Source organism: Homo sapiens, chromosome 9, assembly GCF_000001405.40.
Source record: "Homo sapiens chromosome 9, GRCh38.p14 Primary Assembly".
Taxonomy (NCBI): domain Eukaryota; kingdom Metazoa; phylum Chordata; class Mammalia; order Primates; family Hominidae; genus Homo; species Homo sapiens.
The window spans coordinates 127,880,184-127,906,944 of NC_000009.12; the positions used below are offsets into that span (position 1 = coordinate 127,880,184).

The window sequence follows — 26,761 nt, forward strand, 5'->3', positions numbered from 1 at the left end:
TAAACATGCAAATGTGTGTGTGTGTGTAAAATATATTCTCAGACTTTTTTTTTTTTTTGCACCGTAACTCTACAAAGTTAAAATTACATTGTCTTACAATCAAACTGACAACATCTTAGAGTGGGTGAAATGAAACAGGACAGAGAAGGCAGGTGTGTGCCTATGACCGCCTGGCTGGAGATGACACTTCCACTTCCTACTTAAAGGCTTCCCCAGGCTTTTCTTTTTCTTTTTTCTTTTTTTTTTTTTTTTTTTTGAGATGGAGTTTCGCTTTTGTGGCCAAGACTGGAGCGTAATGGCGTGATCTCCATTCGCCGCAACCTCTGCCTCCCGGGTTCAAGCAATTCTCCTGCCTCAGCCTTCCTGAGTAGCTGGGATTACAGGCATGCGCCACTACGCTCGGCTAATTTTGTATTTTTAGTAGAGACGGGGTTCCTCCACGTTGGTCAGGCTGGTCTCGAACTCCCAACCTCAGATGATCTGCTGGCCTTGGCCTCCAAAAGTGCTGGGATTACAGGCGTGAGCCACCGTGCCTAGCCGGCATTTTATTATTATTATTATTATTTTATTTTATTTATTTATTTTTTGAGACGGATACTTGCTCTGTTGCCCAGGCTGGAGTGCAGTGCCACAATCTTGGCTCACTGCAACCTCTGCCTTCTGGGCTCAAGCGATTCTCAAGACCCCCCAGTAGCTGGGACTACAGGCACGTGCCACTACGCCCGGCTAATTTTTGTATTTTTAATAGAGACAGGGTTTCACCATATTGGCCAGGTTGGTCTCGAACTCCTGACCTCAAGTGATCTGCCTGCCTCGGCCTCCCAAAGTGCTGGGATTACAGGCGTGAGCCACTGTGCCCAGCCCCCCACGCTTTTTTTTTTTTTTTTTTTTTTTTAAAGAGACAGGGTCTCACTTTGTTGCCCAGGCTGGAGCGCTATGTCAAAATTATAGCTCACCGCAGCCTAAAATTCCTGGGCTCCAGCAATCCTCCTGCCTTGGCCTCCCAAAGTGCTGAGATTACAGGTGCGCGCCACAGTGCCCAGCCACCCAAGCATTTTTGCTTTTCCATACAACAAGCGTCTATTACTTTATATATATTAAAAAATAACTTTAACATGGATAAATCTTGGGGACATTATGTAAGTGAAATAAGCCCATCACAAAAAGGCAAATACTGTATGATTCCTTTACATTGAAGTATCTAAAGGAGTCAAACTCATAGAAAAAAAAGTAGAATGGTGGTTGCCAGGAGCTGGGAGAGAATGAGGAAGGAAGAATTGCTGTTTAATGGGTACAGAGTCTCAGATCTGCAAAATGACAAAGTTTTGGAGCTCTGTTATCCAAAACAGAGTGTGAAAATTGTTAAGATGATTAATTTTATGTTACACGTTTTTTACCACAATTTTTAAAATAAAATAAATAAATTTTTAAAATTAAAAAATCAATTTTAAGTATCCGTTTTATTTGCATGTGAACTATGGATTTTCTACCAATTCTGGAATATTAACGTTTCAGAATTTTATTTCCCAGGTATAACCTAAGGAAAGAAAAAAAAGAAAGGGAGAGAAAAACTGGAATAGTGAAAGAAAAAAGAATTGCATGAAGCCTGGGCGCCGTGGCTCACATCTGTAATCCCAGCACTTTGGGAGGCTGAGGCAGGAGGATCACTTGAGCCCAGGAGTTTGAGACCAGCCTGGGCAACATAGCAAGACCCTGTCTCTACAAAAAAAAAAAAAAAAGTTTTAATTATCCAAGTATGGTGGTGCCTGCCTATAGTCCCAGCTACTTGGGAGGCTGAGGTGGGAGGATTGCTCAAGTCCAGGAGATCAAGGCTACAGTAAACCGTGATCACACCAGTGTACTCCAGCCTGAGCCACAGAGCATGACCTTGTCTCAGAAAAAGAAAAAATTGCATGGAGGAAAGATCTGGAAGATTATACCCTAATAGGACTCGGCAATACCCTCCCTTTCTATCTTATATCATTTGTATTATTTGTTTTATGATAAAAAAAATCTAAAAACAGAAACATATAAAAATGAAACTAATTAAAAAATTTTTTAAAAATATTTTGTAGCTTGTGACATTTAGGAACAAAATTAAAATGAAAATATTTTGGTTAAAGAAAAAATTCCAGCCAGGCGCAGTGGCTCATGCTTGTAATCCCAGCACTTTGGGAGGCCGAGGCGGGCAGCTCACTTGAGGTCAGGAGTGTGAGATCACCCTGGCCCACCTCTACTAAAAATATAAAAATTAGCTGGGTGTGGTGGTGCACGCCTGTAATCCTAGTTGCTTGAACCAGGGGGCAGAGGTTACAGTAAGCTGAGATCATGCCACTGCACTCCAGTCTGGGTGACAGAGCAAGACACCGTCTAAAAAGGAAAGGAAGGGAAGAAAAGAAGGGAAGGGAAGGGAAGGGAAAAAAATTCCAAGGCTTGAAAACAAGCTGGCATGGCGGTTGCAGGAGATGTGCCAGGGCCTCCTCACTCTGAAGTTCACATGTGGACCCACCAGTCAGCACGTAGTGGGATTGGGGATTGCCCCAGGGAGCCTGGCTGGTGGGGCTGAGCTCAGTGGGAACCACTGAGCATCCGCAGGAAACAAATGGATGCAGGAAACAGCTGGACGGGAAGCCCAGAGAGGAGCGGCTGCCACTCATAGGTTTGCAGCTGGTGGGAGGCGCCCCCTCCCAAGGAGGGGTGGGGGTAAGGCCCTCTGCACAGAGATGAGGAAGCACCAGCCTCACTAAGGCACCCGGGAGAGGGGTGCAGGTGCAGATGGAGGTGCAGGAAGGCCTCAAACGCCAGACAAGTCTGTAAGTTTGGAGCTGGCCAGTGAATGGGGAGCCAGTGAAGGTTTCAGGGCAGAGGGCTGTGATGAGAGGGGCTTCAGGAAGCTCACTTTAGCAATGAGTGGGCCAGTCTCCACTGGGTCCCACTGAGGGGGTGAGAGATTGAGGAGTTGGGGACTAGGCCCACCAGAGTCCCACCTCCTGATGCTCCACTGAACATCCCCCTGGGGAACCGACCCCCTCCTGATGCACCTCTTACTGACCTCCCCCTCCCCAGTGGACAGACAGAAGAGCCACAGCATTCTGGGAGAAATTCTACCTCGAAACCTCTGCTGGGGCTGGGTGTGGTGGCTCACGCCTGTAATCCCAGCACTTTGGGAGGCCAAGGTGGGTGGATCACTTGAGGCCAGGAGTTCAAGACCAACCTGGGCAACATGCTGAAACCCTGTCTCTACTAAAAATACAAAAATTAGCCAGACATGGTGGCAAGTGCCTGTAGTCCCAGCTACTCGGGAGGCTGAGGCACGAGAATCACTTGAACCCTTGAGGTCAGGAGTGGGAGATCACCCTGGCTCACACTCCTGAGGGGAGGCAGGGGTTGCAATGAGCCGAGATTGCACCACTGCACTCCAGCCTGGGTGACAGAGTGAGACTCCATCTCAAAAAAACAAAACAAAACAAACAAACAAAAAAACCACAAGGAAGGCCAGATGCGGTGGCTCACACCTTCACACCTGAAATCCCAGCACTTTGTGAGGCCAAGGTGGGTGGATCATGAGGTCAGGAGTTCGAGACCAGCCTGACCAACATGGTGAAACCCTGTCTCTACTAAAAATACAAAAATTAGCTGGGCATGGTGGTATGCGCCTGTAATCCCGACTACTCAGGAGGCTGAGGCAGGAGAATCGCTTGAACCCATGAGGGAGAGGTTGCAGTGAGCCTAGACTGCACCACTGCACTGCAGCCTGGGTGACAGAGTGAGACTCTGTCTCAAAAAAAAAAAAAAACCTCTGCCTGGACCCAGGTTCCCAGAAGCCTTTGCATGGGGTTGGATGGGTGCCATATTCCCATATCCCCATGCCCACGCACGGCTTTCTGCTCCCCATGTAGACTTTACACGGAGTCCCAATCTTTCCAGCCCCCCAGCCCCACTGCCACCATTACTGTGTCTGGCGGCCCCTGGGCCCTGCGCCATGCCACCTGTCAGCCTCCTGCCCATCCTGCTGTGGTCCCATTTGACTTCTCTACGCAAGAAAGATCAAGGCTCTTGCCCCCCTCAGACTGACATTTATGGCCTTGCCTTGTGCCATCTGGCCCCGGGCAGTCTCATCTCTCACTGCTCCCTCCTGCTGTAGCCTCACTGCCTACTGGGTGAAGCTGGGGATCCCACCATGAGGCTTCTCTGTGGGCCACTCCTCCCACCAGACACTCTCACCCTCATCAACTGTGCCTAATACAGTGCATGGCATGCGGCTGCTTATTGGCTACGTGAATTGAGAGGCAGATGCAAGGTGCCATTCATGCCTCTCAGCCCCGGTCACCACCATCCTGGCTGGCCCAGTGCCCAGAAGGGTTCTCTTTCCTGTCCCCAGCAGCTCGGGGACCCTGGGAGATCCCAGCAGGCTGCCTGCCCATGTCTTACACAGTCACTCTTTGTTAGGCCTCGCCTCCGAGGGCATCTTATCTGCCCAAACAGTTTGTAATCTCTGGAGTCACAGACCCCGTGCCTCCTGCCAACCTGGAGTACACAGCCCTTTTGCAGAGAGGCTGGTGGCAACCACCGCTCACCACACTCCTGCCAGCGTTGCAGCCCCGCCAGGCTCCCTCCTGCTGGGTTTGGCAGGAAATCTCAGCTCCCAGCCATCAGGTCCCCAGACGCTTAAGGAGCTGAGAGACCTCTGGCTCTGTGGCCTGGGATGTCTTTCCCCTCACCCCTTCTGCATTCACTGCTCAAACTCTTTTCCCAGCTTCTGTGGGAATTCTTCCTAGTGTACCACGGGGCTCCTCCCCTCCTGGAACCTGAGCTCCTTGAGGGCAGTGTCTGGTCCCCTTTTGCCCTTGAAGGAATTGGGGCTCTCAGAGGCGAAGTGACTTGCCCGTGGTCACACAGGCAGGGTGAGGTGGGGACAGGAAAAGCCAGACGGGCCTGGCTCCGCACGCCCCCACCATCCCCAGAGCCCCCAGGTCTCCACTCAAGATGCAAAAATACACACCTCACTGGCCACTGGCTGCTGAAGAAGCTGAGGATCGCTTTACTGGGAGCCCCCAACCGGAAGACGTGGTCCTGAGGCCGCATGCAGCGCTGGACCAGAAGGCTGTGCTCGACCCAGGTGACACAGGACACGAAGCCGGAGCGTAGGTGTGTTTATTCCTGTACAAATCATTACAAAACCAAGTCTGGGGCAGTCACCGCCCCCACCCATCACCCCAGTGTGCAATGGCTAGCTGCTGGCCTCCTCCATCTGGTCCCTCCAGCCTCACAGCCTCCTCCTGAAGCCCTTTCCTTCCAGGCTCCAGAAGAGCAGGAGACAAACACACCCCACTGAGGCCCAGCTTTAATAAAGTGCCTGATACAGAGCCAGGGGACAGAACCCAGGTGATACAGCTCCCGACAGCCATCCCAGGACGACAGAGGGTCGAGGGAGACCCTCGGAAGCCCCCAGTGACTCCAGACAAAGGGGCAGCCCCAAAGGCGCCTCCAACAGTTGGAAAACCTCCCTGCTAGAGGGCAGAAAAGGAGGCCTGGCCCTTTAAGAGCCAAGCTAATGGCAGCTGGCTGAGGGGCTAAGAAAACAGCTTAAGGTTTTGTCCCGTTTCCTTCAGAGTCCCCCAACCCTGAAGGAGTTTGCGCAAAAATACCCTAAAGTTTTCCAGGAGGTGGGGAGGTCACCCCAGACCCCCCAAAGAGCTGAGCCTTCCAGCAAGGGATAGTGGCTGGGAGGGTCCAGACGGGGAGGACAGACCCGAGGGCACTTGTAGGGGAGGTGGAAAGGGTCTCAGACTCCGCACTGGAAACTGGTGTGGGCAGAAGGGTGCCCAGAGAGGGGGAAGGGTTTGTCCAAGGTCTCAGGGCAGAGCCAAGACCTGGATGCCGGCCTCCCACCTCTGGGACCTCCCCACCGCCCCCACAACCTCCACAACCCCACAAATTCTCTGGCCGGGCCTCCAGACAGCTTCTACCCCCACACAATCTCTCTTTCTGGTGCTGGAAATTGAGGGGGCAACACCAAGTTCCCAGCTCCTTGGGACAGGACCCCATTATCCCAGGAGAGTGGGGAGTGATTGGGGGGTCCATTCCTGGGGCTCTGAACCAAGGCCTCATGGGAAAGGACATGTCCTTAGCCTCAGATTGACTCAGAAATACCCCCTCTACCCTGATTGACTGTGCGCAGACCCTGACTGCACAAGAAAGACACCCCTGATTAACCGCATAGACTCCCAAATCCCTGATTCGCCAACAGATTCCCCAGGCCCTGATTGGCTGGAGGATACATCCTCCTCAAGGCCCTGATTGGCTGGGAGACACTCCAGCAAGCCTTGATTGGCCAGAAGATGGTCCCTGGCCTAGCGGCTGGGCGGAGGCTGCTTCTCCTCTGACCCTCCTGAGGTCCCACAGGCTGGGTGGCCTAGGTCCAGGAGGGGTGGGAGAAGGTGATGCCATACAGCTGGGCCCACGATGAGAAGACCCTTTTCTCGGTGATGAAGCGGTGGTGGTTGCCCTTGCGACTGTGCTCATTCTGGATGTAGGTGACACATTCGTCCGGCCCCTTGGGCTCGTAGTAGTGGTAGGGCATGCGCTGGAGGCGGGGCCGCTGGCTGGGACAGAGCAGACGGGCGTCATCAGGGCAAGGTGAGCGCTGGCAGGGTCCTTGCCCTTTCAGCCCCTCGCTTACCATAGGACCTCAATAGGAGAAATCCCCATGCCTCCTGGGGCCTCGGTTTCCCCATCCATAAAATGGGTGCAGGGTAGACTAGGTGTGTAACCACCAATTTTTTTTTTTTTTTTAAATGCAGTGGCACTTTTTCCTTTCCCTAAGAAGGCGGCAGTGTGGAGCAGTGGTGAGGGCTGTGAGCACTGGAGCCTGGCCCCTCTTCCTACTGTTTGGAGGACCTTTGGCTACTCATAAAACATACTCCTCAGTTTTTCTCATTTAATTAATGGGAAGAATAACAGTTCTTATCCCGTAAGGTTGCTGTGAGGAGTAAGTGAGAGACTACATGTGGCCATGCTTGGTACCTGGTCAGTATTCAGTAAAGTATAGCTGTCCCCTAGTGGGCTTTTCATATGATGCTACTACTAATAGTTATTATTAATAAATAAACTCTGGCGGAGCTTGGAGTGGAGGCCCCTGAGGAAGGAGAAGAAGCCTAGATCTCTGAAGAACAGTTTGAAAACAATGAAGCAGAGGCCCTCAAAGGCACCTTCAGCCAAGGTTTCCAGCCCCTAGAGCTCCATCCTGCGGCCAGTGCCTGGGTGTTGTCCTGGGAGGGCGCTGGCAAGGAGGGCTCACCTGCAGTAGTTGGGGGGGACCATGCCATAGACATGCACGTGGTCACACAACTCCACCGCGATCACCATGGTAAACCAGCCTGTGCTCAACCACGAATGAGACTTCTCCCTGGGGATGGAGAGGGGTCACGATGAGGGCACATGCAGGGAGAGATGGGAGCAGGTGACCCAGGGTCACCCACGTGGAGTTCCCTGGAACTCCTCCCATCCACTCATCAGGGCCCCACTCCCACTTTGGTTACCCCAAGTCCAGCCTCGCTGATGGGAGCATGGCATGTGGCAGAGGGCTGTCCAGGCAGAGGTGAGGGGTGTGGAGGGAGCTCCTTTGAGGGGAAGAATGGGAACAGGGCATGCTAGAAATGAACTGTCTCCTGGGGAGCTGGGTCACAGTTGGGCAGGCTGAGTGACTATGATTGCAGAGCATGCTAAAAACAGTTGTGCCCATGCTAGAAGCAAACTCCTAAGGGGAGACTAATCAGATAAGTTCATGCTGGAGTGACTGCAGTTCAGAGCAAGGCCTGAAGGAGTAGCCCAGAACCAAGAGCTGTGCTCACACTACAGTGGCCACCAGCCATGTGTGATTGAGATGGGCTGTACGTGTAAATACACACTGCATTTCTTAGGTAGTATGGAAAAAAGAAGGGAGGCCAGGCGTGGTGGTTCATACCTGTAATCCCAGGACTTCAAGACCAGCCTGGGGAACATAGTGAGACCTCATCTCTACAAAAAATTAAAACTTAGCCAGGTGCAGTGGCTCATGCCTGTAATCCTGGCACTTTGGGAGGCTGAGGTGGGCGGATCACCTGAGGTCAGGAATTGGAGACCAGCCTGGCCAACGTGGCGAAACCCTGTCTCTACTAAAAATACAAAAATTAGCCAGGCATGGTGGCACGTGCCTGTAGTCCCAGCTACATGGGAGACTGAGGCAGGAGAATTGCTTGAACCCAGGAGGTGGAAGTTGCAGTGAGCCGAGATCGCACCACTACACTCTAGCCTGGGCAACAGAGTGAGACTCCTTCTCCAAAAAAAAAAAAAAAAAAAATAGGCCGGGCGCAGTGGCTCATGCCTGTAATCCCAGCACTTTGGGAGGCCAAGGCGGGCAGATCACGAAGTCAAGAGATTGAGACCAGCCTGGCCAACATGGTGAAACCCCCTCTCTACTAAAAATACAAAAATTAGCTGGCGTGGTGGCACGTGCCTGTGATTCCAGCTGCTCGGGAGGCTGAGGCAGGAGAATCGCTTGAACTTGGGAGGCGGAGGTTGCAGTGAGCTGAGATTGTGCCACTGCACTCCAGCCTGGGTGACAGGGCAAGACTCCATCTCAAAACAAACAAACAAACAAACAAACAAACAAACAAACACTGAATACTTTCTCCCTAAGACTAGGACCAAGGCAAGGAAGTCCACTCTCACCATTTCCAATACAATTGAACATTGTACTGAAAATCCTAGCCAGTGCAATAAAGCAAAAAGAAGAAATAGGCATACAGATTAGAAAGGAAGAAATAAAATTGTCCTTATTTGCATGTCACATGATTATCTGCATGGAAAATCCCAAAGAGTCTACAAAAATCTCCTAGAACAGGCTGGGCACGGTGGCTCACGCCTGTAATCCCGGCACTTTGGGAGGCCAAGGCAGGTGGATCGCCTGAGGTCAGGAGTTTGAGACCAGCCTGGCCAACACGGTGAAACCCTGTCTCTACCAAAAATACATAAATTAGCTGGGTGTGTGGCGCAAGCCTGTGGTCCCAGCTACTTGGGAGGCTGAGGCAGCAGAATCACTTGAACCCAGGAGGTGGAGGTGCAGTGAGCCAAGATCACACCACTGCACTCCAGCCTGGGCAACAGAGCAAGACTCCCTCTCAAAAAAAAAAAAAAAAAATCTCCTAGAACCAATAAGTAAGTTTAGCAAGGTTACAGGATACAGGATCAACACACAAAAATCAATTTCTCTTTTTTTTCTTTTTTTTTTTTTTCTTGAGATGGAGTCTCGCCTTGTGGCCTAGGCTGGAGTGCAATGGCAGGATGTCAGCTCACTGAAACCTCCACCTCCCCGGTTCAAGCAATTCTCTTGCCTCAGCCTCCCAAGTAGCCGGGATTATAGGTGCGCACCACCACGCCCAGCTAATTTTTTGTATCTTTACTAGAGACGGGGTTTCACCATGCTGGCCAGGCTGGTCTCAAACTCCTGACCTCGTGATCCGTCCACTTCGGCCTCCCAAAGTACTGGGATTACAGGCATAAGCTACCGCTCCCAGCCACAGAAATCAATTTCTATATGCCATTTCTATATATTAGCAATTAACAATTGGGAACAAAAGAAGTTAATGCCATTTATAATAGCTCCAAAATTTTTTAAATATTTAGGTATAAATCTAACAAAATATGTACAGGAGCTATATGTTGAACATATTGGGTTAAAAATATATTAAAGTTGCTTTTACTACTTTTTTTCTTAAGGAGATGTAAGATGTAATCTCATTCTGTCACCCAGGCTGGAGTGCAGTGGCACCATCCTGGCTCACTGCAGCCTCAACCTCCCGGGCTCAAGTCATCCTCCTGCCTCAGCCTCCTGAGTAGCTAGGACTACAGGTACAAGCCACCGCACACAGCTATTCACTAATTTTAAAGTGCGATTACTATGAAAATAAATGACATATGTGGCTCACATAGATTTCTATTGGGCAGCACTGGCCTAGCTTTCCTAGGGAGATTAGTCACAGCAGGGCATGCTGGGAGTGATGCATCGCTGGAGCAGAGCATGCCAGGAGCAACTGTGTGCTTAAGGCAAGACATGCTGGGAACAGTCAAGACTTTACATTGGGTACACTATGGGGAGCTTCTCTCAGAAAGATGCTAGGACTGACTGTGCAACCTCAGAGCAGAGCATGCTGGGTGGGAGCCCTTGTGCCCTCACAGCAAGGTATGCCAGGAGAAAGCCCTCTTGGACAAACCAGGCCATGCAGAGCATGCTGGAAAGGACCCATGTGAACAGCTGGACATGAAGAGAACTCTCCTAGGAGGCCCAACCAGAGGACGGCGGGACTTGACTACCCCTCAGAGCAGTGCATGCTGGGAGCAACAGGCCCTCTGGATGGGGCATGCTGAGAAGGAGCACAGTGCTGGCCAGAGGGGGCAGGCAGGAGGCTGGTACCTGTCCTTGCCCGTCTCACCCCGGAAGAGGTCGTCAAATTGCCGCATGCGGCCGGGAGAGACGGCATATGCTTCCATGTTGGGGAACACCAGGCCCGCTCGCTGGATCACACGCACGAGGCTGCCCTGGGGCTTCTGCATCTTGCTCGGGGGCCCCCAGAAGATGAACACGGTTTCAGGGGTCCGGTTGACAAACTCCTGGGGCCTCCTCAGCACGCGGAACACACTGGAATGGGCCACGACGCGGTAGGTGGTCTTGTTGCCCACATCAGCTGAGTAGCCAGTGGTGGGTGCATCATTCATGCGGATTGTACACTCAGCCCGCTCGATCTCAGGGCCCAGCTTGGTGCCCAGCAGGTGGCTGGAGCTGCTGACAATCACACACTGGTGGCACCGAGAGGGCAGTGTCTGGTGGATAAGGAAAGTCAACATTATCACGGCCACTCTGTGCTGGCCCTGTGCTCCATACATCCAGGCCTCCAGGACCCAGGAATTGTTATGCCCATTTTAAAGACAGGGAAACTGAGCCCATTCATTCCACATTCAGCACACATTGATAGCAAGCTGGTTAATGGCCAAGTCCTGGGGCAGAGCAAGGAGCAAAACAGACCAGGCTTCTGCCTTCAAGAAACAGGTGGGGAGACAGATAAGAATGCACATAATACATGCCAGGAAAAAAAAAGAAAATAGTGGCAAATGGCTAAGCATTGTAGCTCATGCCTGTAATCCCAGCACTTTGGGAGGCCGAGGCAGGCGGATCACCTGAGGTCAGAAGTTCGAGACCAGCCTGGCCAATATGGTGAAATCCCATCTCTACCAAAAAATACAAAAATTAGCCAGGCGTGGTGGCGCGTGCCTGTAATCACAGCTACTCGGGAGACTAAGGCACAAGAATTGCTCGAACCTGGAGGCAGAGGTTGCAGTGAACCTAGATCGTGCCACTGCATTCAAGCCTAGATGACAGAGCAAGACTCTGTCGAAATAAAGAAAGGTAAGAAGAAAGAAAGAAAAGAAACAAGGAAAGGAAAGAAGAAGGAAAAGAAAAAGGAAAGGAAAGGGGAAAAAGGAAAGGAAAGGAGAGGAGAGGGAGAAGGGGAGGGGGAGGGGGAGGGGAAGAAGACAGGGGGAGGGGACAGAGAGGGGGGAGAGGGAGGGGAGGGGAAGGGAGGGGAAACAGGGGCAAGTGACCAAAGAGCGACTGCAGCCAGGGCACTTTAGGAGTGGTGGCCTGGAAGTCCAGGTGCGATGGCTCACGCCTGTAATCCCAGCACTTTGGGAGGCTGAGGTGGGCGGATCACCTGAGCTCAGGAGTTCGAGACCAGCCTGACCAACATGGAGAAACCCCATCTCTATGAAAAATACAAAATTAGCAAGGTGTGGTGGCGCATGCCTGTAATCCCAGTTACTCGGGAGGCTGAGGCAGGAGAATCGCTTGAACCCCGGAGGCAGATGTTGCGGTGACCCGAGATCGAGCCATTGCACTCCAGCCTGGGCAACAAAAGCGAAACTCCATCTCAAAAAACAAAACAAAACAAAAAAAAGAATCTAGTGAGAGGAATCTAACATAACTGACTCCATCCTGTTTCTGACCTCACAGTCTAACCACCCTTGCTCATTCCTGTCCATAGGCTAAGCTAACTATGAGAGGAATTTACTTTATAGTTTAACTCTGAAGCAAAGATGATAACAGCCGCTTCCCAAAACTGAACTCCACCTTGTTTGGGGACTAAAACTGACTTTGTAAAGTTAATAAAAGGCCACAAGGTAACAACTGAGACAGAGGCCTGGACTCTGCTAGGATACAGGTGTAGTAAAATCATTTGTTTTACTTATTTTCCTTTTCCTTTGTCCTTCTCTTCGTAGATGCATGATTGCCTGCATATAGTCAGTTCGATAGAAGGTGGTCACTAAGAATTGATTGTCTCACCCCCCGCACACCTTTCTGTCAAGCTGTAGGCATAAACCATAACCAGTCATTATCTCTTAGCTTGCTTTTCTGCTAAGATGTAGCTATAGTTGAATTATAACCAGTCATTGTTTCTTAGGTTGCTTTTTAAAATATAGATAACATCATCGTTGTTTTTAACATAGATAACATCATTATTGTAAAACCTGAGTGTCTGAGATATTTTTCAGACCTTGCAATCTGGTAGATCAATGGATGCCAACCAGACCAGTGACCCATGGCCCCCACCCAGGAACTGACTCGGCAGGTGAAGACAGTTTCAACACCCCTATGATTTCATCCCCAACCATTCTCTAGTCCCCCTGCCTGCCAAACTATCCTTTAAAAACCCTGGCTTCCAAATTCTGGGGGAGGCAGATTTGAGAACTATCCCACGCCTCCTCATTTGGCTGGCCCTGCGATTGTTAAACCCTTTCTCTGCTGCAACACCCGCAGTCTCAGTGTATTGGCTTTTCCTGGGCAGCAGGCAAGAAGCTGTCCGGCTGTAACAGAGACGTCTCTCTGAGCTGAGATGTGAAGGATGAAGAAGGACCACCTAGGGAAACATATTCAAGGCAGGAGAAACAGCCAGCACAAAGGCTCCAATGTGGAAATAAAGGTGGTACACTGAAAACCAAAAGAAGGCCATTCAGTTGGGGCAGAGTCAACAAGTGGGAGAACAGCAGGTCACAAAGTCTATGTGACCACAGATTCCCAGCTCTCCAAAGAAGACATCTTCCAAAAAGCACCCATGACATTTCCACAGCACCCAGAAACAAGAACCACCTTGTTATTAAGGAAGGTGTGAAAGCCACTCTGGGCTTGTTTTTCCATGGCTGAAATGAATGGGTTGGAACCACATACTCTCTGGGGTCTATTTTTTGCCCACGGAATTCCCATTCACCCTTTAAGGCTAAGCTCAAATACCACCCTCCCCAAGGCAGCCTTCCCTGAGCCCTTACTCCAAGATCCAGCAACACATCCCACGTACCTCGACTGGCACTCCCACTTTTCTGAGTGCTAGTTTTTTTGGCTTCCCCTGTGATGCTGGAAGCACTGCAAGCCAGGCTCTGTCTCTCCTTTCCACATCACCCACACTCAAGCTGTCCCATTTTTATTCCGCTTTCAAGGGTTCTTAGGGTAGAGAAAGACTCACTTAGGTGTTAACCTGTCTCCAGACACCTGCTAATGTGCCCTTTCCTAGTGAGGGTGTGTCCAGAGCCCGGGCTCTACACTCTGCATGCGAAGGCCCTGAAGAAAATATAGGAGGGTCAGTGAGGAAGGAGAAAGAGGTACTACAGGGTGAACCTCAGAAATACAATCTGAATTTCATGGCTACCCAAGGCCAACAGAAGTCCCCAGGAATGACTTTGGCCTCTCTGTGCAGCTGCATCTTAGCAGCGGGTAGGAAAATACCATCTTCTTCCTTCCCTCACTGTGTGGCCTTAGACATGTGACTTCACCTCTCGGAGCCTTGGTTACTCCATCTCACCAAGGAAGATAATAATGCTGCCCTCACAGGGCTTGTCTGAGGATTACTGGTGATCAAAGGGCCTGGCACACACACGCACTTGATAAAAGGCAGCCGGTATTATTACTGCTTTTGTGTTGTCAAATGTCCCAGTGCTCTGCTCCCAAGCCTGTGTGGGCTCCCCAGCAGAGACAGAGAGCAGTGAAAACAGAAACACATTTTCAAAAGGATTCTGATTCAGGAGATGGTAGGATATTAGCAATAAGGGTGGGGACTTGGAGAGAACTGAGGCCCAGACAGGGGCAGCGCACTTATCCAAGGTCACACAGCAAGCAGCAAGATGAAATCACCGGAGGCAGGGCCTTGACTCTCAGGGTCCACCTTTCCTTTAGGAAAGAACAGGTGGAGGGAGTGGTGATGCTGGGCAGTAGGGAGGAGCTCCCCAAAGCAGCTGCGCTACCTTGTTGCCGAGAATGGGGACATAGCCGTCAGTGATGCTCCACTTCTTGAGGTTGACAGGTCGGCGGCTACGGCCCCGCAGGGAGCCGTAATGGAAGACCTCATTGGCACTGTTGGAGCTGTAGAGGATGAGGATGGTGATGAGGGCAAAGAGGATCACGAACACTGCTGACCGCTGCTCCTGGAGAGAGGAGAGGTCAGTGAGGGCCCAGCTGCCGGGCAGGCTCAGCGCCCCCACCTCCTTGCCACCTACCATGCCTGGTTAACTCCTGCTTTTTGTTGCAGACCAGGTCAGGCACTACTTCCTCCAGGAAGGCCTCCTTCAGCCACCTCAGTCCCCCCATCACAACACTGATCATACTGCATTCAAACTCCCATCCCTCCAATTAGACCGTGAGCTCTGGGACTAGGTCAGCCTTGCTCCCCACTGTATCCTAGATCCCAGGGCAGGGCCTGGAACATGGAAGGTTCTCCGGGAGGGTTTGCTGGACTGGATTGAATATGTCAGGATTCCCTATAGCTGCTGCTAAGAGGATGTCTAGAGACAGGTGGGACATCTGAGTGAGAGGGTCTAGGTCTTCCCCCAACAGTAACTCTCCAATGTATTGCCTCTAGCTCCAAATTTATCCTTTTTGTCTGCTCTGTGGAAATGGATCTGGGCCCTTTAAATATTTTCCCTTGTCAGTTAGCTGCATATTAAACTTTGTGAGTAGAGGGTGCTGGACAGACACTGCAGGAGGAAAAGCATTTGCTTCTTGGTTCTGGTAGGCTTGCTAGGGAGGCTCCTTCAGTGCACACGGCCTCTCCAGTAAGGGCATCTTACCCACTGCCCAGAGGCCAGCAGTGCCAGCAAGTCAGGCTTATTGCTTCTGGCTCCCGCTGTGATCACAGCTTCTCCGAAGTCCAGCTCCTACAGTACACTCAACCACCTGCAGCACCTGGAGGCTGGCGGCTTCCCCTCCCCAGGCCAGTTCTGTACTGGAGCCATCCAGTGGGCCATAGCTGGGCCTTCTTCAGCAAGGCCCAGATCTCAGCCTTTATGGGGGCAGGGGTGCTCCTTATATTAATATCTGCTATTCCTGTATTCCTCAGAATTCCAATCCCTTGTTACTCTAGTGTCCTATTATAGTCAATAATTTTTTGCATTAAACTTTTCCGTTTAATCACTGTGTAGTTTCTTTTTCCTGATTAAACTCAAATTAATACAACCACCCCATCCCACTTCCAAACCTCAGGCTCCACCAAGGCTGCAGTGGATCCTAGGGAAGGGGCATGCAGGGCCAGTCATGTAGTAAGTGCTTAGGAAAGAATGAATGAATGAAAGAATGATGGGGAATCCTGACATTCTCAGGGTCATGCTCGGGCTGTATCACCTTTGACTCTGATCAGTGCACCCTTGCCCCATTTCCCGCTCACCTCCACCTGCCCACCCCTCTCTCCTGCACAGCACTCCACAGTCACCTCGGCTAGTCCTTGACCATCACAGACAGACCGTCAGGCCTGGGAAGGCAGAGCTGACCCTGGGCCCGGGAACAGGCAGGAGCTTGCCCTAAGCCACTCAGAAGATCAGTGGCCAAACCAGGGCTTAAATCTGGGCCTCCCAGGCATGGGCAGCTTCTTGCGGGGAAGAAGAGACTCGTGGTGGCTGGGGTCTGAGACAGGTCCAAAGGAACCCGTTCCATGGAGGGAAGTGAGAGGCTCAATGGGGTTAAGAAATGAAGGCAGACTTACTTTGTTGCTACTCATTTCTCTCCGGCGTCTGCTGAGGGGTAGGTGTCGGCGTCCTGCAGGTGGCCCTGGGGGCAGGGATGTGGGTTCACACCTGCAAGCCACCAGAAAGGGTTATTATGGCTTCGGTCCTTTGGGTCCAGCAAGCCAAAGGCTACACCTTCTCTGCCCCGCACTAGTTCTTCTATGCACCCAGAACTTTAAGGCTCAGGACTGTATCCCTTTTGCAGACGGAGACACTGAGGGCCAGAAAGGCCAGGAATCTGCCTGAGGTCACACAGCCTGGTGGCGGCAGAGCCCTGCCCATTCTCCTCCCTAAGCAGGGGCCTTCCCACACCAAGGCAGCTGGCAGGGCCAAAGCTGGCTCCCCTGCTGGAGGACCTGACCTCCACGCAGTAGGAGCCCCATTCACACCCTGCTCTAAACCCTGCCTTGGGTCCCTGTGGTGTCAGAATAAAACAACACCGCTTGTAGGCCCCCGAACTCCTCTGCTCTGGCTCTCTCTCAGGTTGGCCTGGAACGCCCTCCCTCCTATGGCCTCCTGACTCCCACTCATCCTCCAAGCCTGGCATGGACCAGGAACTCCCCTACGTCCTCCCATCCCCCCAGGCTAAGAGCTGCCTGCGGGATACAGCCCACCCAGGTCCTCACTCAGTTTCCCTGTGCCTCCACAGCCACGGAGATTCAGGAATATCGCTGAATGAATTAGTGCATTAACAAGCAGGATCTCTCGGGGGCTAAGGGCACAGACTCAAGTCTGAGAGGCTCGGTTCTAGTCCAGGCTCGACAGTCTCTGCCAGGGCTGACTCCTCATCTGTCAAATGGCTGTAATCACAGTCTCAGGGGGTGGCTGGGGGGGCCTTTGGAAGACCTGGCAGTGAGGAGGCCGGCCCAGCTCTGCTCCGCACACCCCAATCTCTTCCTCTCCCACAACCAAAACCCAGCTCCTTTCCAGGGTTCCCCACCTGTGAAAGGGAAAATGTACTGTGTCCAGCCTACCTCCAGCAGACAGGCCGGGGGCAGGGCGGGCAGGAGTGCAGAGGGAAGAAACTGGGGCTTAGGGGGCCCTCCTCAGCTCCGTCCCCTGCTCCAGGGGCCTCTCAGTTCCTGTATTCTCTGAGCCCTTTGACCTAGCCGCTGTTTACTCCTACACGGCCACCAGGAATAGCCAGAGAACCTCGGGCCAGAGGAGGCTTGGCACACACACCTCGCTCCTGATTGGTTAGATCATGGCCCCGCCCCCTCTCCAACCCCGCCCCCTCCCCGTGGGAGCGCCCCTCATCCGGAGCTCGGCTTCGGGTTTCTCCAGCGGCTGCCCCTCACTGCCAGTCAGGGAGGCCCAGACTCCTATCTAGTCCAGGCCCTGCGGTACAGAGCAGAAAACGGGGCCTCATCAGAAGCAGGGAGCGGCTTGTTCTTGCCCTCACAGACCGTTAGAGCAAAAGACAGGAGTCCAGAATCCTGGGGTGGCCCCATCTGCCCTGAGACCTTGGCATTCAAGGCGCCCAGGGGTCCAGCCGCCTATATCTTACTACGCGTGGCCACCCTTTCCTGCGGATGCCCCCTGCCCGCCGCCCACTTTCCCACCTTTGCCCGAGCTGTGCCCTCAGCCAGGACCACCGTCCCCCTGGTCCGCCCCGTCACAATCCTGCTCTGAGAAGGCCATGGTCAGTACAGCATGTCAGCTGCCAGTGCGAATCCCGGTTTCACCACTTACTGGCTGGGGGGCCTCGAGCAAGCCATGTGACCTCTCTGAGCCTCAGTTTCCTCATCTGTGAAATGGGAACAATAAGAGTCGGTAACTCAAGGGGTTGTTGGAAGGATTCAAGCAGATGTGGCAAGGGACACGCGGGGCTTGAAAGTGCTCCCACATTGGCCGGGCGCGGTGGCTCACGTCTGTAATCCCAGCCCTTTGGGAGGCCGAGGTGGGCAGATCACTAGGTGAAGAGATCCAGACCAGCCTGGCCAATATGGTGAAACCCCGTCTCTACTAAAAATACAAAAATTAGCTGGGCGTGGTGGCGTGCGCCTGTTGTCCCAGCTACTCCGGAGGCTGAGGCAGGAGAATCGCTTGAACCCGGGAGGCGGAGGTTGCAGTGAACCGAGATGGTGCCACTGCACTCCAGCCTGGCGACAGAGCGAGACTCCGTCTCAAAAACAAAAACAAAAATAAATAAATAAAATAAAATAAAAGAAAGAAAGAAAGAAAAGAAAGTGCTCCCACAATGCCAACAGCTGTTAGTCTTGTGGTTAATCACTGTTCAAGGCCCGCCTCTCCAGTGTGTCAGTGAAACACTCCTCCCCTGACCCCAGTGCAGCGACTTTCCCGGAATATCAAGGAATGTGTGGGAATGCGTTCTAAGCATCACCCACGCACTGAATCCAGGCAATGCATGGTAGGAGCTCTTGTTGCCCATTTTACAGATAAGGAGACTGAGGTTCAGAGAGGCAAAGCGCCTTGCGGGGCCGCCCAGAGCCGGCTCCAGAGCCTTGTTTACAGGGAGCTGCCCAGGGCTGAGCCTGACTTCGTCTCCCTGGAGGATCCCTCTCGGCTGGAACGGGTCAGAGGCCATGGAGTGTGTGCCCAGGACGTGGCTCGGCACAGGCACCAGGGCGGGGGTCTAGGGGTGCCGGCCTGTTGGGGAGCGGCTTGCTCACGCTGGGGAGGCGGCAGCCCCGAGCGCTGGGCCAGGAGCATGGACTCAGCCCAAGGCTGGACGTGCAGGCGAGCTGAGCGGGAGCCGAGGGTGGGGGCCACACCCTGCCCTCTGTTTGGGGGCTTTCCTTCTTCCAGCCCCGGGAGTCCTCCCGCAGATCGGGACGCCCCCACGAACCCGCGTGGGAGGAGGGCTCCAGGGAGAAGGGGGAGGGGGGCTCCTAAATCCAAGACGATGCGGGACGCTGAGCCCGTGCGTCCACCTGGTGGGGGGCTCACCCAGCGCGCGCCTCGCCTCATCCCCCTCCCCAACTCCTGCACTCCGGGGGTCCGGAGCCCTAACCCCAGCTGGGAAGAAAAGAGAGGCAGGACCGCTGACGGGGTAGTCGGCGGCAAGAGGCCCAGCGGACCCCGCGACAGACCCTGGGCGCGAGGACCGGAACCTCGGGGCGCGGCTACCAAGGGGGAAGGGGTCTAGGGGTGCCGCCGGGGGACCCGCATCCATCCCCATCCCCGGCGATTAGCAATCTCCTCTCCCGGCGCCCTCCGCCCCAGCCCCCGCCTCCGCCCCCGCCCCCGCGGCCTGCTCCCGCGCGGCGCCTGCTCACCTCCGGCGGGGAGCGCCCGGCCCCCCGCGGCCCCCGAGCCCCCTCACATGGCGCCGGGAGCCGAGCGCCGGGGTCCGCGCTCCTCAGGCCGCCCAGGCCTCGCCGCACCCGCGGCCCGCCGGGTCCTAGCGCCGCCGTCACGGCCCGGCCCAGGCCTGGGAGGTGGGCGGAGCCTCGGGGCCGCGGGTGGCTCCGCCCACGGGCGGCGCGGGCGGGGAAGGGAAAGGGGAGGCGGACCCGGGTGCCGCCGCCTGGTGAGCGCCTCGGTCACCCCACTGGGCAGCCCGGGGTGACCACCAAAATACAACAGCCTTTCGGCTCCCTGCAGTGTGGATCGGGCCCACTTCTAGCTCTCTTTATTGCCACCATGACCCCGGATGGGGAAACTGAGTTCCGGAGCACGCTGTGCTTGCACTCAGTGGAGTTTCTACCTGGGCTCCCCACAGAGGGCCTCCAGCTCCCTGCCTTGCACCCTGTAGTCACCTGGGCAAACTTAGGGTTCACCCTCAGATTCAAGTTAACCTCTGCCATTCGCCAGCTGCGCAGCCTTAGCGCATAACTTCCCTTCTCCCTGCCTCTGGAAAATAGGGAGAAGAATAACTTCACAGAGCTGGGAAAACTTAAGATGTTCCTTCTTGTAATTACCAGGGCATCCATGACATCACTCTACGTGATAGGGAAAAATAACTTAAGTAGCCATTGCTAGGGGACTGCTTAAGTTAAGGCACAGCCTGCCGAAGTGCACGAGGAGGCTGTTAAAATGAAGGATGCGGGCCAGGCGCGGTGGTTCGCTCACGCCTGTAATCTCAACACTTTGGGAGGTCGAGGCAGGTGCATCACCTGAGGTCAGGAGTTTGAGACCAGCCAGGCCAACATGGAGAAACCCCGTCTCTACTAAAGATACAAAATTAGCCTGGCGTGGTGGCACATGCCTGTAATCCCAGCTACTCGGGAGGCTGAGGCAGGAGAATCGCTTGAACCTGGGAGGCAGAGGTTGCGGTGAGCCGAGATCACGCCATTGCACTCCAGCCTGGGCAACAAGAGCGAAACTCCGTCTCAAAAAAAAAAAAAAAAAAAAAAAAAAGAAGGATGCAGGTCAGTATGTCTTGGCAGGAAAGGATGGCCAGGATATTTATAGGATATTTACGTGAAGAAAGCAAGTTAAAGAACTGCCAGCCAGGCCCAGTGGCTGTAATCCCAGCACTTTGGGAGGCTGAGGTGGGTGGATCACCAGAGGTCAGGAGTTAGAGACCAGCCTGGTCCACATGGTGAAACCCCCTCCCCCAACCCCCCACCCCACCCCGCCTCCAGTCTCTACTAAAAATACACAAATTAGCGAGGCGTTGTGGCGGGCACATGTAATCCCAGCTACTTGGGAGGCTGAGGCAGGAGAATCACTTGAACCCAGGAGGCAGAGATTGCAGTGAGCCGAGATCATGCCATTGCACTCCAGCCTCCAGCCTGGGCAACAAGGGCTAAACTCCCTATCAAAAAAAAAAAAAAAAAAAAAAAAAAAAACTGTCTTGGAAACAAAGTTGTAAACATTTGCATTCCACAGCTGAGTACACATGCCCTGGAGAAATTCTTGCAGATGTGCCCAAGGAGGTTCATAGCAGCATCGCTATGGGGAAAAACCCCAAATATCCATCAACAAGAGAATGGAATTGTTTTATACAATGGAAGGTTCACACTGTGGAATAATATGTAACAGGGTAAAATCAATGATCTACAATTACATGGATGAATCTTAGAGACACAAGGAGTGAAAAAGAGGTATTGGAAGATAAGTAAAAACTACACAATAGGGGCCGGGCGCGGTGGCTCATGCCTGTAATCCCAGCACTTTGGGAGGGGAGGCAGGCGGATCACTTGAGGTCAGGAGTTCGAGACCAGCCTGGCTAACATGGTGAAACCCCGTCTCTACTAAAAATACAAATAAATTAGCCAGGCGTGGTGGCACATGCTTACTTGGAACACGCTACTTAATCCCAGCTACTTGGAAAGCTAAGGCAGGAGAATCGCTTGAACCTGAGAGGCGGGAGGCAGAGGTTGCAGTGAGCCCAGATCGTGCCACTGCACTCCAGCCTGGGCGACAGAGAGAGACTCCGTCTCAAAAAAATAAAATAAAATAAAATAAAATAAAAATAGACCGGGTGCGGTGGCTCAGCCCTGTAATCCCAGCACTTTGGGAGGCCAAGGCAGGCGGATCACCTGAGGTCAGGAGTTTGAGACAAGCCAGACCAACATGGTGAAGCCCAGTCTCTACTAAAAAAATACAAAATTAGCCAGGTGTGGTGGTGCATGCCTGTAGTCCTAGCTACCCTGGAGGTTGAGGCAGGAGAATCGCTGGACCCTAGGATGTGGAGGTTGCAGTGACCGAGATCGTGCCGCTGCACTCCAGCCTGGTGACAGTGCGAGACTCCATCTCAAAAATAAATAAATAAAAATAAAAGCAAAAGTCAAGAACAATGGGGGAGGAATCAAAGAGGTATGCAAGTTACAGTAACTGGTCTTTAAGTGGGGACTGAGTTCAAGAGGTTCATGATATTTTTATGCTTTATCACTTTCAAATATGACACCATATCACAATATTTTAAAAGATGCAAAAAAATAAATAAGGAAATGCCTTTTGCCTATCACGGTGATTAGTGTTTTTGGTTTTTTGTTTTTTATTGAGATAAAGTCTCGCTCTGTCACCCAGGCTGGAGTGCAACGGTTCAATCTCGGCTCACTGCAAGCTCCGCCTCCTGGGTTCAAGTGATTCTCCTGCCTCAGCCTGCCGAGTAGCTGGGACTACAGGCGCGGGCCACCACGCCCAGCTAATTTTTTTGTATTTTTAGTAGAGATGGGGTTTTGCCATGCTGGCCAGGCTGGTCTCGAACTCTCGACCTAGGTGATCCGCCTGCCTCAGCCTTCCAAAGTGCTGGGATTACAGGTGTGAGGCACTGTGCCTGGCCAGTGTTTAGTGTTAATAGTGGTTATTTCTGGAATGATGGGATCTGGGGCTGCTTTTTTTCTTTTGGTTTAACTGTATTTTTCCAAAAATTTTAAGATAATGGTCACATTATTATTATTATTATTATTATTATTATTATTATTATTTTGAGACAGACTTTCACTGTGTTGCCCAGGCTGGAGTGCAATGGCGCGATCTCGGCTCACTGCAACCTCTGCCTCCTGGGTTCAAGTGATTCTCCTGCTTCAGCCTCCTGAGTAGCTGGGACTACAGGCGTGTGCTACCACGCTCGGCTAATTTTGTATTTTTAGTAGAAACGAGGTTTCACCATGTTGGTCAGGCTGGTCTCAAACTCCTGACCTCAAATGATCCACCCCCCCTTGGCCTCCCAAAGTGCTAGGATTACAGGCATGAGTCACCGCACCCAGCCCACACAATTTTTATATATATTTAAATATTTTTATATATTTAAAAATGTATTTTTTTAATTTCTAAAAACAAACTGCAATATATAGCATAATTTTTTGCTTGCTTTTTTTTTTTTTTTTTTTTTTTTGGAGATGGAGTCTTACTCTGTTGCCCAGGCTGGAGTGCAGTGGCACGATCTCGGCTCACTGCAAGCTCTGCCTCCCGGGTTCACGCCATTCTTCCGCCTCAGCCTCCCGAGTAGCTGGGACTACAGGTGCCTGCCACCATGCCCGGCTAATTTTTTGCATTTTTAGTAGAGATGGGGTTTCACTGTGTTAGCCAGGATGGTCTCCATCTCCTGACCTTGTGATCCGCCCGCCTCGGCCTCCTAAAGTGCTGGGATTACAGGCATCAGCCACCGCACCCGGCCTTTGCTTGCCTTTTAAAAATACATAACTATGCATAATATTTGTAAATGCACACATAAAGTGTCTGGAAGGACCCACAAGGACTACCAGCAGTTGATTCCCTGTTAAAGTGAAGGTGGGGCAGGACGGTTGGGTGCTACCTTCACTTTTCCCTTTATAAACTTCTAGGTTGTTTGCACTGTACTTATATGGGAAGTTAATACCAGTTTGTTTCCAATTAAAACAAAAGTCAGCAGTAGTCCCCCAGGGTCCAGCCTTTAGGCCATAAAGGCACTGCCCACCAGGCAGGGAGGGGGTGGCCCGCAAGGGTGGATTGGAGGCTTCCTGTCCCTGGTGCCCACCTCCATCCGCTTCCTGAGCCTCAGACCAAGCTCCACCCATGGCCCTCCTAGGTCGCCGACCCCGCCCTACAAGTGACAGGATGGAAAACCATGGAGTGGGGGCAGGGCGGTCAGACAGGCAGGAGGCCTGATGAACTTGACTTCTGAGGACTCAGAGCCTCTAGCCCAAGGCCACCCAGGGCGCTGGGGGCTGCACCAGGAGGGAAACATCCTGTCCCCAGCCCTTCTCACTAACCCAGGCCAGTGACCCGAATCAAACACCCAGAAGTGAGAGGGTGCTTTGGCCCTGCTCCTGGACAGCATCTGGGCCTGGAGCTGCCTGTCCCGCCTGCCATGTCTCTGGGCCCAGGCTCACTCCAGCAGGATTTGCTTCAGGGCTGGCTTCCCTTCTTGGGCCCCAAGAACGACAGCAACCATCTCAATAACAGTAATAACAAGGATGAGAAACAGAGCAGCTTACTCTCTGCCAGGCACTTTGCAAACACACCTCATTGAATCCTTATGGTGGCCTATGAGTTGGGTACTGCGGTTAACCCACTTTCCAGAGGAAGAAACTGAGGCTCAGAGAACACGCAGGTGGCAGGGTTGTTTCCACTAGGCCTGTCTGTTTAATAACCACAGACATATTCTACACGGAAGCCTTGGGTCTGTGAGAGCCAGGCCAGGCCACACCAGGACGTTCCTGCATGGTGGCTGTGGCCAGTCCTCGTGGGCCTCCCCCCCCCAGCCCTTCCCCCACAGTCTGGGAGAGCTGGCCTCTGCTTTGACCCTTCCTGCCTCCTACACGGGTAGGAGAGGCCCGTGTATCCCCTGCTTCCTGACCCTTAGCAAACTTCTTTGAGCCGTTAGGATTTTTCCCTTCCATGGTATTCTGGAAAGAGCTCTAAGAGACCCCTCACCTGCCGCAGCTCCCAATTCAAAGAAACCAAGATCAAGGGTCGGAGGGAGAATAGAACTTGCCCAAGACTCCGCAGCGGGTCGTGGGCAGAGCCAGGCTGCAAGCCAGGCCTGGGGACTCCGGCCTCTCTCCCTCTAGGCTTTTGTCTGGGGGAGGGGCTTCTGGAGAGGAGAGGCCTGTGAGAGTGGCGGGCAGGTGGGGGCCTGCACACAGGGGCTGCTCCATAGCCCAAGACCTGGGCTCCCGGCCAGAGGGTCTGGAACGAGGAAGTACTGCCTCTTCCCCCACAGAGGCTGGAGAGGGCAGACGGGCCTAGATGAGCCTAGACGCTGGGTCCCACCAGTCCCCCAAAGCCAGATGTTCCTGTTCTCACCTGGGTGTGTGAGATTTTTTGTTTCATTTTGTTCCTTACAAGGTGAAGCTGTGTGAACCGTGAGCGTGAGCTCTGGGCCAGGCTCCATGGCCCTTCTAAGGAAAAGGCCCCTTAGGACACCTCTGGGCTGTGAGGCTTCCCCGGCTTCCCCTCTGGGCTTGGAGGAAGTAGGGTAGGTCCTCAGCCACTCTGCTGAGGGGCAAAGGAACCAGGGTATGAACAGGAAAACAGAGGCCCAAAGAGTGGCTGCAGATTCAGGTGATCCCTGGGGCTGTGGGGAGGCTCCTGCCCTGGGCTCACCTCAAGGAAGCTGCAGGAACTGCTGTGGCAAAAGCAGAGAGTCTTCAGTTTCCTGATCAAGACAGCCTTCAGTAGACCCCGAACCAGCCACCAGACCTGTCAAGGATCATCTCCATCTGCCTGGAGGAAGTGACTGACGCATCACTCCTGCCAGGTCACCACCCCCAGAAAGACACACCATTTGGGCCAACCCAGCAGTAAATACCCCACCCGAGGGTAGGGCCAGGTTAGAGGAGCCTCTGTGTCCTGGGCCCAAGGGCTGGGTCAGCCTTTTCCCAGGGGATAGAGAAGGAAGAGGAGGCAGCCTCCCAGGAGAGAGTGGAGTTCAAATCCCATCAGAACCAGTGGACACTGGGCCTTGGACACCCAGGATGAGGCAGGGAGTAGGGAGACAACCAATGGGGCAGGGGCTTCCTGCCATCTGTCACCACCAAGGAAGGGCAGGGCCAGCCCAGGGCAGATGAACCCCACGAAAAATGCTGGCTCCACATGTCAAGTGCCTGCTATGTCCTAAGCCATGGGGATAGTCCACTGTCTGAATCTGTGAGGTGGGGACAATTTTAACCTTTTACAAATGACAAAACAGGCCCAGAGAGGGGTACTAATCTGCCAAGACCACTACAGCAGAAAGTGGGGCCAGAAAGAAGTCAGGCCTTGACTCCAGGGCCCTCCCTCTGAGCCCGGAAACCCCCTCCACCTCCGCCTACCAGACTCCATCCCGCCCTTACCTCTGCCTGACACCTGTTGAGAGCTCCTCGCTCCGTGCTGTGGCTCCGCTGCCAGCCTGCTCCTTGCTTCGCCAGCTCAGGGCTCTCCTCCCCCCTCCCATTCCTGCAGAAACTTCTGGGTCCACCTGGCACTGGGCAGGAGGAAGCCGGGCACAAAAGCGGTGCTGTGAACCAAGTGCCAGGTCTCAGCCCCCTCTGTGAAAGCCAAGGGCGGGAGGGAGAGTATGCCGGGTCACCCAGAGCCCCCGGGACTACTGGCTACATAATTTCTGGGATCCAGTGCAAAATGAAAATGCAAGTCCTCTTGCAAAAAAAAAACAAAAAACAAAACAAACAAACAAAAAACCCTAAGAATTTAAAGTTGGCAACAGCAGAGCATTAGCATAGGGCCCTGATCCCTGGAGCTGGCAGCTAGAACCCCAGGGCTGCATCCCAGCTGACAGCCCGAGGCCCTGGCCCAGTCCTCTGAGTCTTCCCGTCCCCAGATGAAGTAGTGATGCCTGGAAGGGGTGATGCTTGTGGGCTCTCTCCAGCCCAGGGGTGCAGGGCTCAGGTCCTCGGGCTCAGCTCTCAGACCTGGTATTGCACACTGGCCCAGCCGCTCCACAGTTGTCCGGCTTCAGCTGAGTGGCCTCAGCTCATCTGTAAAACCAGCTAGCACCAGTCCTCCTCTGAGGATGGCAAGGTTCCGCTGGTGGGACTTTTTTTCTCACTTTACAGATGACGAAAGTAAGGCCTGAGCCAGACTAGACTCCCTCACAGCAGCCACCCAGGGCTGCCCTCTGCCTTCCTGTTTTGCAGGGAGACCAAACCCACTTTCTTTCTTTCTTTTTTTTTTTTTTTGAGATGGAGTCTCACTCTGTCGCCCAGGCTGGAGTGCAGTGGCATGATCTCAGCTCACAGCAACCTCCGCCTCCCGGGTTCAAGCAATTCTCCTGCCTCAGCCTACTGAGTAGCTGGGACTACAGGCACCCACCGCCACATCCTACTAATTTTTTGTATTTTTAGTA

The 26,761-nt window shown here is 53.0% G+C and overlaps 1 protein-coding gene and 1 long non-coding RNA gene across 33 annotated transcripts in view, besides 11 other annotated features; both read right to left on the reverse strand.

Moving 5' to 3' along the window:
• Positions 1-26,761, reverse strand: part of ST6GALNAC4-ST6GALNAC6-AK1 (ST6GALNAC4-ST6GALNAC6-AK1 readthrough) — a 50,556-nt gene that overhangs the window by 13,698 nt on the left and 10,097 nt on the right. For 2 of the 9 annotated variants that reach the window (NR_174626.1, NR_174627.1), the window contains exons 1-7: positions 25,752-26,433; positions 25,024-25,119; positions 16,059-16,149; positions 14,329-14,508; positions 10,454-10,860; positions 7,301-7,408; positions 5,003-6,605 (exon numbers count right to left, since the gene is read on the reverse strand). This is a non-coding gene — a long non-coding RNA (ST6GALNAC4-ST6GALNAC6-AK1 readthrough). Of the gene's footprint in view, positions 1-5,002; positions 6,606-7,300; positions 7,409-10,453; positions 10,861-14,328; positions 14,509-16,058; positions 16,150-17,054; positions 17,226-17,772; positions 17,828-19,319; positions 19,421-25,023; positions 25,120-25,751; positions 26,434-26,761 lie in introns of those variants that run through there. The other 7 variants (NR_174630.1, NR_174628.1, NR_174631.1 and 4 more) reach the window with 7 other exon arrangements.
• Positions 2,701-3,201: an enhancer, noted in NCBI's record as "H3K4me1 hESC enhancer chr9:130645163-130645663 (GRCh37/hg19 assembly coordinates)". NCBI's record gives its function as "activates a minimal SCP1, AML or CMV promoter by ChIP-STARR-seq in naive H9 embryonic stem cells {active_cell/tissue: H9 hESC(naive)}" and the evidence as "EXISTENCE:reporter gene assay evidence [ECO:0000049][PMID:30033119]".
• Positions 3,939-4,936: an enhancer, noted in NCBI's record as "H3K4me1 hESC enhancer chr9:130646401-130647398 (GRCh37/hg19 assembly coordinates)". NCBI's record gives its function as "activates a minimal SCP1, AML or CMV promoter by ChIP-STARR-seq in primed H9 embryonic stem cells {active_cell/tissue: H9 hESC(primed)}" and the evidence as "EXISTENCE:reporter gene assay evidence [ECO:0000049][PMID:30033119]".
• Positions 5,138-26,433, reverse strand: ST6GALNAC6 (ST6 N-acetylgalactosaminide alpha-2,6-sialyltransferase 6). 24 transcript variants are annotated; one of them, NR_174621.1, is made up of 8 exons: positions 25,752-26,433; positions 25,024-25,119; positions 17,773-17,827; positions 16,059-16,149; positions 14,329-14,508; positions 10,454-10,860; positions 7,301-7,408; positions 5,138-6,605 (listed from the first exon to the last, which is right to left on the reverse strand). NR_174621.1 is itself a non-coding variant. In NM_001388489.1 (7 exons), the coding sequence occupies exons 3-7, from the start codon at positions 16,071-16,073 to the stop codon at positions 6,416-6,418; spliced, it is 900 nt and encodes a 299-aa protein (NP_001375418.1). In that variant the 5' UTR covers positions 16,074-16,149; positions 25,024-25,119; positions 25,752-26,433; the 3' UTR covers positions 5,138-6,415. The 24 variants fall into 24 exon arrangements, 13 of the variants coding, with proteins under 13 accessions (NP_001375418.1, NP_001273928.1, NP_038471.2 ...); NR_174619.1 differs by lacking the exon at positions 17,773-17,827 and having other exon boundaries at positions 14,329-14,446; NR_174618.1 differs by lacking the exon at positions 17,773-17,827 and having other exon boundaries at positions 10,473-10,860.
• Positions 16,007-16,828: an enhancer, noted in NCBI's record as "H3K4me1 hESC enhancer chr9:130658469-130659290 (GRCh37/hg19 assembly coordinates)". NCBI's record gives its function as "activates a minimal SCP1, AML or CMV promoter by ChIP-STARR-seq in naive H9 embryonic stem cells {active_cell/tissue: H9 hESC(naive)}" and the evidence as "EXISTENCE:reporter gene assay evidence [ECO:0000049][PMID:30033119]".
• Positions 17,225-17,294: a silencer, noted in NCBI's record as "silent region_20314". NCBI's record gives its function as "represses an Ori minimal core promoter by ATAC-STARR-seq in GM12878 lymphoblastoid cells {active_cell/tissue: GM12878}" and the evidence as "EXISTENCE:reporter gene assay evidence [ECO:0000049][PMID:35858748]".
• Positions 17,650-18,470: an enhancer, noted in NCBI's record as "H3K27ac-H3K4me1 hESC enhancer chr9:130660112-130660932 (GRCh37/hg19 assembly coordinates)". NCBI's record gives its function as "activates a minimal SCP1, AML or CMV promoter by ChIP-STARR-seq in naive and primed H9 embryonic stem cells {active_cell/tissue: H9 hESC(naive and primed)}" and the evidence as "EXISTENCE:reporter gene assay evidence [ECO:0000049][PMID:30033119]".
• Positions 18,471-19,291: an enhancer, noted in NCBI's record as "H3K27ac-H3K4me1 hESC enhancer chr9:130660933-130661753 (GRCh37/hg19 assembly coordinates)". NCBI's record gives its function as "activates a minimal SCP1, AML or CMV promoter by ChIP-STARR-seq in naive H9 embryonic stem cells {active_cell/tissue: H9 hESC(naive)}" and the evidence as "EXISTENCE:reporter gene assay evidence [ECO:0000049][PMID:30033119]".
• Positions 19,367-19,596: a silencer, noted in NCBI's record as "silent region_20315". NCBI's record gives its function as "represses an Ori minimal core promoter by ATAC-STARR-seq in GM12878 lymphoblastoid cells {active_cell/tissue: GM12878}" and the evidence as "EXISTENCE:reporter gene assay evidence [ECO:0000049][PMID:35858748]".
• Positions 22,552-22,641: a silencer, noted in NCBI's record as "silent region_20316". NCBI's record gives its function as "represses an Ori minimal core promoter by ATAC-STARR-seq in GM12878 lymphoblastoid cells {active_cell/tissue: GM12878}" and the evidence as "EXISTENCE:reporter gene assay evidence [ECO:0000049][PMID:35858748]".
• Positions 23,694-23,963: an enhancer, noted in NCBI's record as "active region_29057". NCBI's record gives its function as "activates an Ori minimal core promoter by ATAC-STARR-seq in GM12878 lymphoblastoid cells {active_cell/tissue: GM12878}" and the evidence as "EXISTENCE:reporter gene assay evidence [ECO:0000049][PMID:35858748]".
• Positions 24,685-25,211: an enhancer, noted in NCBI's record as "H3K27ac-H3K4me1 hESC enhancer chr9:130667147-130667673 (GRCh37/hg19 assembly coordinates)". NCBI's record gives its function as "activates a minimal SCP1, AML or CMV promoter by ChIP-STARR-seq in naive H9 embryonic stem cells {active_cell/tissue: H9 hESC(naive)}" and the evidence as "EXISTENCE:reporter gene assay evidence [ECO:0000049][PMID:30033119]".
• Positions 25,350-25,949: an enhancer, noted in NCBI's record as "H3K4me1 hESC enhancer chr9:130667812-130668411 (GRCh37/hg19 assembly coordinates)". NCBI's record gives its function as "activates a minimal SCP1, AML or CMV promoter by ChIP-STARR-seq in naive H9 embryonic stem cells {active_cell/tissue: H9 hESC(naive)}" and the evidence as "EXISTENCE:reporter gene assay evidence [ECO:0000049][PMID:30033119]".